Here is a 12,473-nt window from a genome sequence, read left to right on the forward strand (position 1 = left end):
GTGTGATGTTTTTATACATGCATAAAATGTGTGATGATCAAATCAGGGTAATTGGGATATTCATTACCTTGAGCATTTATGATTTCTTTATGTTAGGAGCACTTCATATCTTCTCTTTTAGCTACTTTGAAATATACAGTAAATTATTGTTAACGATAGTTACCTTACTGTGCTATTAAATCCTAGAGCTTATTTCTTCTAACTGTATGTTTGTATCCATTAACCAATCTCTCTTTACCGCCCACCCTTACCAGGCTCACGTATTATTAATTAATGCTGGTCACCCTTGCCGGACTCAAGTAACCATCATTCCACCCTCTACTTCCATGAGGTCAACCCTTTTTAGCTCCCGCCTATGAGTGAGAGCAAGAAATATTTGTCTTTCTGTGCTTGGCTTATTTCACTTAAAACAATGATCTCCAGTTCCATCCATGCTGTTGAAAGTGATATGATTTTATTCTATTTTTATGACTGATTAATATCCTATTGTATATATGTGTATGTACAATGACAACATTAGAGATAGGCATGTATCACATTTTCCTTATCCACTCATCTGTTAGTGGGCATTTAGATGGATTCCATGTCTTGGCTACTGTGAATAGTGCTACAATAAACACAGAGATGCAGTTTTTCCTGGTTATAAACTGATTTCCTTTCTTTCGGATACCAAGTGGCAGAATAGCTGGATCATATGGTAGTTTTATTTTTAGTTATTTAAGAAACCCTCATATTCTTTTTCATAACGGGTGTACTAATTTACATTCCCACCAGCTGTATATGAGAGTTCTCTTTTCTCCACATCCTCACCAGCATTTGATACTTTTTGTCTTTGAATAATTGGCCATTCTATCTGAGATGAGATGCAATCTCATTGTAGTTTTAACTTCCATTTCCCTGATGATTCTTGGCATTGAAGATTTGTTCACATACCTGTTGGCCATTTGGATATCTTCTTTTGAGAAATGTCTATTAAAATTCTTTGCCCATTTCTCAGTGTTTTTTTTCCTTCTGTTTTTGTTGAGTTGATTGAGTTCTTTGCATATTCTGGATATTTGTCCCTTGTCAATTGAATATTTTGCAACTATTCTGTCCCATTCTACAGGTCATGTCTTTATTCTATTAATAATTTATTTTGCTGTGCAGAAGTATTTTATTTTCCTATAGTACCATTTCTCTATTTCTTTTTGTCTCTGCTTTTGAAGTTTTAGCCATAAAAACTTCACCTAGATCAATGTCCTGAGGCATTTACCCTAGGTTTTTCTCTAGCAGTTTTATAGTTTGTGGTCATATATCCAAGTCTTTAATCTATTTTGATCTGATTTTTGTATATGGTGAGAGGTTGAAGTCTAGTTTCATTCTTTGGTATATTATATCCAGTTTTTCCAGCACAATTTATTGACGAATCTCTCCATTTTCTAATGTATGTTTTTGATGCTTTTGTCAAAAATCAGTTGGCTTTCAATATATGAATTTGTTTCTGTCTTCTGTATTCTGCTCCATTGATCTATGTGTTCGTTTTTGTATCAATACCATGATGTTTTGGCTACTATAGCCTTGAAGTATAGTTTCAGGTCAGATAATGTGATGCCTCCAGCTTTGCTCTGATTCCGTATTAACTCTGGCCTGATATTAAGTGCTGCATATGACGTAGTCTGAATATTGGTGTATTTTCTTGTTGGGTAACATTGTCTCGACATAGGAATTGTAAGGTGTTACATAACTTGAAAATTTGATGGGTCACATTTTGGGGGTTACTTATTCAGAAAAAGGAAACAGAGTCATGGCTATCATGATTATCTCTGATGGTGAATATTGTGTGACTAATAGACCATAATGTATTTTCACTTGAGGTATTAACATAAAGAATTATAGAGACTGCCAAAAATGGAGGTTTTTAAATCTACACCATAAGTGGAAAATATGTTCGATGAAACCTGCATTTTTTAGGCATTTTCAGAGTAGGATCTCCACTTATATGTTTCTACTGCATCAAACCATAGGTTGAATCTAGAAATCACAAAAACAGGATTTCCTGCTCATTTTCCCATTCTTCTCTGATGAAGCATGTACACTAATGTGTGTAGAACTGCAAGATTCAAGACACAAAAATTAAAGATCCTTGGTCATGAGATTGCTCCAGAAGATTGGAGATCCCTGTCACTAAAGCTGTCAGTCATCTCAGAAACAGTTTAAGTATAAATCCAGGGCTTTAGTACAAAGCCTTGAAATATTGAATTAAGTTTATATTCAAGCTCAAGACTTTTATAGGTTGAACTCCCTCCCTCCAAAAAAAAATATTATCATCTTTGGTTCCTGTGAGTGTGACCCTATTTGGAAACAGGGTCTACAGATGTAATAAAATTAAGGTGAGGTCACTGAGGTGGGTCCTCGTCTAGCGTGACTGTTGTCTGTTTAAGAAGACCACGTGAAGACGGAGACCCCCAGAGAGACAGCACGTGACGACAGAGGCAAGGATTGTAGTGATGCAGCTGCAAACCACGGAATACCAAGGATTGATGGCCAAAACCATGAGCTAGGAAGAGACAAGGAAGGATTCTACCCAGAGCTTCAGAAGGAGCAGGCACTGCCCACACCTTGATTTCAGAGTCACAGCCTCCAATACTGTGAGAGGATAAATTACTGCTGTTTTTAATCTACCCAATTAGTGATACTGTTTTTACAATAATCCTAGAAAACGAATGTGGATTTTAGGCATCAAAAGTTTCAAAAATTACACCTAATAATTACTTATTCTATTTTTATAATTCTGTGAGTTAGTTTAAAACAATAGATGATGAATTTGGGTGTCAGAGAGGGAAAGTAATGCTCAGTTACTATCAAACCGTAGCACATGAGAAAATGGAAATCCCTAAAATCTCTGTCTAATACCCAGGTTCTTACTTATTAATGACATGGTGTCTACAAAACAAACAAATTAAAAAAGATGTTAATAATTAAAGAGAACATTTAAATTCTCAGATTTAAATATATATATTAATTTTATAAAAGTATATCTACTTTTCATATAAATTTTCAATTTATAATTTATATAGTTATATTGTTTTTCTTTTGTCTTTCAGACATAATAATTCTTACCATGTACTAAATTCCCTGAAATTACACCAATTTTCTTTGCTTTTTAGTTTTTGTAAATATATTTGTGTTAGCCATATTTGGCCAAAACAAAGAGAAAAATCTACATGTTTATTTCTGAAGCAGAGCTCTCTGGATGTACTATCATATAATACTTCCCACACATCCTTCATTATTTCTTCCCCATCCAAGACTTCTTTAAAACATGAGATAATAAGGAAGAGGGGGAGAAAGAGGAGGATAATCTTGATGGTGATAATGAATTTGAACACTTAGTAGGCACCAGGCATTGTACTAAGTACTTTTTATATTTTCCCTTTAATTCTTAACATTGTGAAGAAGCTAATAACTTTCAGCTCATCTTACGCGAAGGGAAAGCAAGACTTAAACAAAATCAGCAATTTAGCTCAGGTATCAAAGCTACTGAATGGTAAAGTCAAAGCTCAAACTGAAGCCCGAGGCTTTGTCTTTGCTATAAGTTTGTTAACTATACTTCATCTGACTATGCTGCAAATGAGCATGGGAGGGCAAGGAGATGAACATAAGAAGTGAGCTCCAACCCTGTTTTCAGGTTTAGGTATGTACATAGGTAGAGCAGAAATGGGTACACTGCAGATAGGCCTGTATGATGTGCTTGTAGAATTTTAATGACAGCAACCTAAATTGCATCGAGCCATGTCACAAGAAAGAGATCTAGAGTTAAACATTATATTAGCAGATTAAATTATCACAGAAATTTTCACATTAAAATTTGAAACCATCCCAATTTTAACAGCTTTTACCTTGTTAACATTTTTCTATTATGCAAGGCACTGAATTACATTTATTGAGTTTACTTTTTCATTGTTTAATATTTTAACTCAGAAAAAAAAATTGGTTTTACTAAAAACGAGACAGTTACAAATATACAAACAACTCTTCCACAATTAATCTTCTACGAGTTAGATAATTCCACAATTATCTATTTTATTAGATAATGAACATTATGAACATTTTCAAACTATCACCGAGACTTAAATTATGTTAATGAAAAATTAACATTAGCTGTGTGGACAATAACTTACATTTTTATTCTCTTGAATATTTGCTGAAATTTTAAGGGAAATAGATTATTAGCTTATTTGGACATACTCACACTGGCCTATCTTTACAAAATAATACAAATAACAAAGAGGAAGGAAAAGCATCTTATCATGCAGCCAGTTCTCAGCATAATTTTACAGTCAGCATTCCAAGTACTTTGATTATGTGTCTTTTGCTGCTTTTTGCTTGCTGCACTCTACTTCAGCATAAAACAAAAGATAATGTATTCTGTCAAAAGAATGAAATAATGTTAGTAGGTAATAGAGTCTGAAATGTTTACAAACCTATAAATGAAGAATGCACCATTAATATGAATGAATGTAATGAAATGCTTTCATGATAATTGCTACATGAGTAGCATAGCATAAGCTAGCTATTTTTAGTGTATTAGTTGCAGGTTTTATAATCATGGAAAAACAATTAGTGCTTACAAGTGCTAATTTTCATGCTACAGAGAAGGTTTTTTACAGTCTTTCCATGTCAACATAAGGGCAATTATCACAGGTTCCTATGGTTCCTTTGAACTCTGGACAGACTTTGTACCATAACATATCTAATTTAGCTATTTTGAAAAGTAGACCAGTCAATTTAGAAAAAACTACCTAATCAAGCTGTCAAGTATTCTATGTTAGTCATATGTCATGATTCTAGATAAATTCCACAATATCACATGAAATTTTTGAAAGAATAGGTTTTGCTGGGGTAATAGGAAATCTTACGTGGCCAGGGACAATAAAGCTATAATTCTCTGGTGGTCAGGGTGAGGCACCATTCTGGGGATCATTCTTAAAAGAAGAAGTTGTTCTCCTATTTGCAGGGAGTGGTATCAGCCTTCAGCTGACAGCTGCTATGGGGATTATCTAAATTGTAGAGGGCAACCCCACTCAATGTCGTACCTTCCTGAAACTGCTGACATTCAATGAGTAGTAATGGCAAGACTCGGGGTGCCACACAGTCACAGGAATTATCTGAGGAATCCAGCTCCTGAGTATTTGGAGATCTTGGCAACTGTGGAATATTGTCCCCTCCTATTCATGTGGAAAACTGAGACTGGGTACAGCTCCAACATCTAGATAAAGATGCACCCCTGGTTCCAAAAAGCTGATTGTTCAGTCAATGCACAGTGAGTGTTCAGGATCATTTTCAGGCATTGCACAATGCGATACACATGTAATTTTTAAATTGAAGGAATGTGTTTATTCACCAAAATAATTAGAAAAATAATCAAGCCAGGGATAAATATATGAAGAGATTCAAGTTCACACATTTAAGCATAAATAGATAATAACCGATCAATAGATAAAACATTTACTATTTATTAGAAACCTAAGAATTAAAAAATGATAAAAATGTACAAGAAATTTATGAGATGAATAAGATGATTTCTATAATAATAAATTTGTATATAAATATTCTTTCATACATAATGCAATAGGTTAATAATTGATGCCTTCCCATCAAGTATTAAGAACAACTTATGGAATTTTCTAGAATCTCTAGGAACCCAAATGGAATACTTTTCTGAAAATGTAATACATATTTTAAGACTAACTTCTTACTATATCTTCTCTAATATATGACCTAATAGTCAATGAATTATATAGTGTCATTTATTCATTAATTGAACACATTATTTTAATATTATAAAGCATCTTCAAAAAACCATGTGTAAGTGAAAATCATAAAAATACATTCAGGAGTGACATCAGTAAGATGGCAGAATAGGAGAACCTCCACTCATATCCCCCCATAACAACAATAATTTGTCAACCATCAGTGGATAGAAACACCTTTGTGGGGACTTTGAGATACAGAAAGGAGACTGCAAAACACCAGTGGAGTCCAAGATCAAGTAGGGCCATTTTGAGACATCAGGCTTGCACCCAAGTTGCAGTGGCTCTAGCTACACACATAGAGATAACACTCTCTTTATTTAGGCTTGGCCACAGCCCCATTTGTTCTGGCTCCTCTATCAGCATTGTCTACTAAGGGACTTTGGAGGAGCCTTACCTGCTTGTCTCTTGGGTAACAGGCTGGCTGACTGCAGTTCCAACTTCAACTCCTGAAGCATCTCTGTGACCTAGCTTCAACCCTGATCAGCTCAGTCCACAGGCAGGTGTACCCACACACTGGAGACAAACCCATCTGTACTCACAGAGGCAGGCCTGCAGACCTGAAAACACCCTATAAATTAGGTTCAGCCATTTTTAGCCTTGGCCTAGAACCAGTTTTGCCAATTTAAAGACCTGCCCAGTAGCCCATTGGGAGCCAATCCAGGGATCTGGTAGGAGAAATACCCATCCACACCTTTGGTAACAGTTCCACCTTTTGCAGAGCCAACTGCAGGCCCTGATGAGGACCCTTTTCCCCGTGCCAGCCCTACTGATCAAGTCAGGGAGGCAGCCCTTTTCACCCAGAAACCAGACAAGATCCACAGCCTCCCCAGTCCCTGGTAGCAGGCCTGTCAACCTTGTATCACACTATGGACCCAGCAGCATCTGTGTGACCCCACTCCAGCCCTACTTTACTGCAATTCTGGAGGCAATCCCATTAGCCCAGGCACCGGAGAGAAGAAGGTATTTACCTGCAAAAAGCAGTCTATAAATACTGGAAGAGGTGATTGTTCCTTCAGTTGCACAGACATCAACACATCTACATGGACCATGAAGAATCAGGAAAACACAACTCCTATCAAAGGAAATTAATAAATCTTCAGGAACTAAGCCTGAAAGAAATGAAAATCTATGAATTGTCCAAAACATAATTCAAAATAATCATTTTAAAGAACTTCAGTGAGTTGCAAGAGAAGACATAACAAAATAAAATCAGAAAAATAATGTGTAAAAAATAAGTAATTTAATAAATAATAGAAACCATAAAAAGATTTAAACAGAAATCCTGAAGTAGAATACAACGACTGAACAGAAAAATTGATCTGAGCTTCAAAAGAAAACTCAATCATGCAGAATATTCAATGAATTCAATAATGTGTCATTTGAAATTAGCCAGTTAGATGAACAAAAAGGAAAAAGAATAAAAAGTATAAAGAAATCATATGGGATAATTGGGACATCATTTGGTGAACAAATATATGTATTATGAGAGATTCAGAAGGCAAATGCAGAAGGGAGCATATTTAAGGAAATAATGGCTGAAAACTTCTTAAATATTGGAAAGTATATGAACCTCCAGATTTCTAAAGCTTGAAAGCCCCTAAGCAAAATTCAGCCTAAGAGATTAACCAAAGACATATTAAAATCAAATTGTCAAAAATAAAAAAAAAGATATAATTTTGAAAAAAGCAAGAGAAAAACAACTTGTCACATACCAGCAACCCCTTCTGCCTGCAAAAATATCATTGGATTTTTCAACAGAAACCTCGCAGACCAAAAAGTTTTGGGAGAAGAAAAACTGCCAATAAAAGATACTATACCCCAGCAAAGTTTTCCTTCAGACACAGAGAGGAAAGATATTCCCAGAATAACAAGGGCTTAGATTTGTCTTATAAGAAATGCTAAAGGGAGTTCTTCAAGTTGAAACAAAAGGTTGATAAGTAACAACATGAAAACTTATGAAAATACAAAACTCACTGCCAAAGGTAAATATATAGTCAAATTCATAGTGCCTTAATAATGTAATGTGGAGAATAAATCACTTTTAACTATAGTAAAAAAGTTAAAAGACCAAATATTTAAAATAACTATAGCTATGATACTTTATTAATGGATATACAATATAAAAAGATGTCAAGGGTGACATAAATAGCATAAAATGTCAGAGAACAAGTAAAATGCAGAGCATGTGTATGTGATTGAATTTAAGTTGCTATCACTAAAATAAATTATTATAACACGAAGATATTTTATGTAAACCTCATGGTAAGCACAAAGAAAAAAATATCTGTAGTAGATACACAAAAGATAAAGTGAAAGTAATCAAAGCATATCATTACACAAAATCAACAAATAACAAAATAATACAGCAAGATAAGAGGAAAGGAAGACAGAAACTACAAAACAGTAAATAATTAACAAAATAGCAATAGTAACTTCTTATCTATCGATAATTATATTAAAATTAAATGAATTAAATTCTCCAATCAAAAGACACAGACAGGCTGAAAAAACAAACAAAACAACCACCAAGATTCAACATTATTCTGCCTATAAAATACTCAGTTTCACTTTATGAATACATACAGGCTGAAAATGAAAAGATAGAAAAAGATATTCCTCTAATTAATAACCAGAAGATAGCAGGGGTGGCTATAACTGTACAGCATGAAATAGATTTTTAGTCAAAATCTGACACAAGAGATAAAGAAGGTCTATATATAATGACAAAGTGGTCAGTACATCAGGAGGATATAACAATTTTAATTACATATGGTGCACCAAATTGGAGCACCTAGACATATAAAGCCAATACTCACAGAAATGAAGGAATAAATAGTAATAAAATAACAGTAAATGACTTTAATCCTCTGTATTAGTCCATTCTCATTCTGCTAATAAAGACACCCGAGACTGGGTCATTTATAAAGGAAAGAGTTTTAATTGACTCACAGTTCAGACTGGCTGGAGAGGCCTCAGGAAACTTAGAATCATGGTGGATGAGGAAGCAAGCACTTCCTTCTTCACGTGGTTGCAGCAAGAAGAAGTTCCCAGTGAAGTGGGGGAAAACCCCTTATAAAACCATCAGATATTGTGAGAACTCACTCACTATCATGAGAACAGTATCGAGGTAACTGCCCCCATGATTCAATTACCCCCCACAGGTCCCTCCAACGACATGTGGAAATTATGAGAACTATAGTTCAAGATGAGATTTGGGTAGGGACACAGCCAATCATATCACCATCCCACTTTCAACAGTATTATCTGGACAGAAAATCAATAAGAAAACAGCACAGTTGAATAGCACTATGGAACAAATGGACCTAATGCACATATACATAATATTCCGTACAATAACAGAAAATACATATTCTTCTCAAGCACACATAGGATATTCTCCAGGATATATCATACGTTAGAAAACAAAACAATCTTAACTAATTTAGGAAGATTTAAATAATATCAAGTATCATTTCTGACATTAATGACAATTAATCAGAAATCAACTATGGGGGAAAGTTAAAAAATCACAGATATGCAGAAAATTAACACACTTCTGAACAACTAATGAGTCAAAGTATACATAAAAAGAGTTGAGTTTGTTCTCAAACTTAGCAGAAACAAAGAAATAACGAAAACTAAAAAAGAAATGAATAAAAGAGAGACTAAAAAGACGATGGAAAAGTTCAATAAAATTTAGTTAGTTTGTTGAAAAGACAAAAATGATGGAAAAACCTTCCACTAAATTCACTGTGAAAAAAAGAGAGGAGTCAAATGAAATCACACATGAAAGAGGAGACAGTAATACATTTCTGTGATACCGCAGAAATACAAAAGATCATAAGAGACTACCATCAGCAGTCATATGCCAACATATTGGATAACTTAGAATAAATGGATAAAGTGTTTAAAAACATGCAACCTACCAAGAATGAATTATAAACAGAAAACCTGAAAAAAAACTATAATGGGATAGGAGATGAAGCAGTAATCAACAAAATCAACAACCTCCCAACAGAGAAAAGCGTGTGACTTCATGGCTTCACCGGTGTATTTTTTTTTTTTTTTTTTTTTTTGAGAAGGAGTTTCACTCTGTCACCTAGGCTGGAGTGCAGTGGCCGCGATCTTGGCTCCGCCTCCCGGGTTCACGCCATCGTCCTGCCTCAGCCTCCCGAGTAGCTAGGACTATAGGCTCCCGCCACCACGCATGGCTAATTTTTTGTATTTTTAGTAGAGACTGGGTTTCACCGTGTTGGCCAGGATGGTCTCGATCTCCTGACCTCGTGATCCGCCCTCCTTGGCCTCCCAAAGTGCTGGGATTACAGGCGTGAGCCACCGCGCCCGGCCTCACTGGTGTATTTTAACAAGCATTTAAAGAAGAATTAATGGCAATCCATCTCAAACTCTTTCACAAAATTGAAGAGGAGGAAACATTTACAAATAATTGTATGTGGCCAGCATTAACCCTATAGTAAATCCAGATAAAATACTGCCAAAAAGAAAATCACAAGCCAATATTTCTGTTGAATATAGATGCAAATTGTTAACAAAATATTATCAAGCTGAATTTAACAGCACATTAAAAGGATCATACACCATGATCAAATGGGATTTATCTCTGATATGCAAGACTGTTTCAACATATGCAAATTTATAAAAATGATATAGCACATTAACAAAATGAAAGATAAAATCATATGATCAGTTGAATAGATGTAGAAAGAGCCTTTGACAAAACTAATAATAAAACAAGTTCATAACCTTTCATAATTAAAAAGCAACTCTCAACAAATTAAGTATAAAAGGAATATATCATAACATAATAAATATCATGTCAAGCCCACAGCTATCATACTCAATGGTGAACAGTTGAAAGATTTTCTTCTACTATCAGAAGCAAAACAAGGATCTCCTTTCTCATCACTTCTGTTTAATATAATAACTAGAAGTCCTAGACAAGGCAATTAGGCAAGGAAAAAAAAGGCATCTGTATTGGAAAGGAAGAAGTAAAATGTCTCTATTTGCCAATAACATCATAATATCATGATATTATGTACAGAAACCCTAAACACTCTACCAACAAACTGTTAGAAGTAATACAGAAACTGTTAGAAGTAATACAGAAATTCGGTAAAGTTGCTGGATAGAAAGTCAGCATACAAAAGTCAGTTGCCGTTCTACACACTAAGTAGGAACTATTTGAAAAAGAAGTTAAGAAAACTTTCCCATTTAAATAACATCCAAAAGAATCAAATACTTAGGAATCAATTTAAGGAGGTAAAGTTTGAACAATGAAAACAATAAGACATTGACAAATGAAATTAAAGAAGGCACAAACAAGTGGAAAGATATTCTGTGTTCATGGATTGAAAGAATTAGTATTATCAAAATGTCCATACCACCTAATGTGACCCACAGAATCAGTGCAATCCCTTTAAAAATTCCAGTGGCATTTTCACAGAAATAGAAAAAAATAAACATTAAGTTTAAAAGACTCCAAAAGACCCCAAATAGCCCAAGCAATCTTGAATAAGAACAAAGCTGGAGGCATCACACTTACTGATTTTAAAGTACATTACAAATGTATATTAATAAAAACAGCATGACAATGGCATAAAATCAGACACATGGAACATAAAAACAGACCAATGGAACAGAGCGGAGAGCCCAGACATAAACCCACACATTTATGGTCACCTCGTCTTTGAAAAGGGTGCCTATAATACAAAATAAGGAATGTTAGTCTCTTCAACAAATTGTCTTGGGACAAATAGACATCTAAATACAAAAGAATAAAAGTGGCTCTTTAGCTTACACCATAAAACTTGAAACAAATTAAGGATTTACTCATTAAGACCAGAAAATGTAAAACTGCAGGAAGCAAACAGGAAAAAACTCCTTGATGTTTGTCTTGGCTATGATTTTTTTTTCTTTTTTCTTTTTTTTAGATACGACACCAAAAACACAGGCAAAAGCATCACGTCTCAGTCTTTTGGCTAAGATTACGTGTAGTGAATGCACAGGCAACAAAAGTAAAAATAGACAAATGGGATTAGATTTAAGTAAAAAGCGGGCAAGGACTTCATGTCTAAAACACCAAAAGCAATGGCAACAAAAGCCAAAATTGACAAATGGGATCTAATTAAACTAAAGAGCTTCTGCACAGCAAAAGAAACTACCATCAGAGTGAACAGGCAACCTACAAAATGGGAGAAAATTTTTGCAACCTACTCATCTGACAAAGGGCTAATATCCAGAATCTACAATGAACTCAAACAAATTTACAAGAAGAAAACAAACAACCCCATCAAAAAGTGGGCGAAGGACATGAACAGACACTTCTCAAAAGAAGACATTTATGCAGCCAAAAAACACATGAAAAAATGCTCATCATCACTGGCCATCAGAGAAATGCAAATCAAAACCACAATGAGATACCATCTCACACCAGTTAGAATGGCAATCATTCAAAAGTCAGGAAACAACAGGTGCTGGAGAGGATGTGGAGAAATAGGAACACTTTTAAACTGTTGGTGGGACTGTAAACTAGTTCAACCATTGTGGAAGTCAGTGTGGCGATTCCTCAGGGATCTAGAACTAGAAATACCATTTGACCCAGCCATCCCATTACTGGGTATATACCCAAAGGACTATAAATCATGCTGCTATAAAGACACA

The 12,473-nt window shown here is 34.8% G+C and overlaps 2 long non-coding RNA genes across 4 annotated transcripts in view; one reads left to right on the forward strand and one right to left on the reverse strand.

Annotated features, from left to right (window-relative positions):
• LOC107985178 (uncharacterized) overlaps positions 1–12,473 on the forward strand; it is a 125,185-nt gene that overhangs the window by 41,760 nt on the left and 70,952 nt on the right. The gene's annotated exons all lie outside the window — the stretch shown is intronic.
• LOC101927404 (uncharacterized) overlaps positions 3,397–12,473 on the reverse strand; it is a 121,424-nt gene continuing 112,347 nt past the window's right edge. The window contains exons 4-6 of one of the 3 annotated variants that reach the window (XR_935579.3): positions 6,764–6,867; positions 6,190–6,352; positions 3,397–4,407 (exon numbers count right to left, since the gene is read on the reverse strand). This is a non-coding gene — a long non-coding RNA (uncharacterized LOC101927404). The remainder of the gene's footprint in view (positions 4,408–6,189; positions 6,353–6,763; positions 6,868–12,473) is intronic. The other 2 variants (XR_935580.2, XR_001753478.1) reach the window with 2 other exon arrangements.

The sequence above is a fragment of the Homo sapiens genome, chromosome 18 (genome assembly GCF_000001405.40).
Source record: "Homo sapiens chromosome 18, GRCh38.p14 Primary Assembly".
Lineage (NCBI taxonomy): Eukaryota > Metazoa > Chordata > Mammalia > Primates > Hominidae > Homo > Homo sapiens.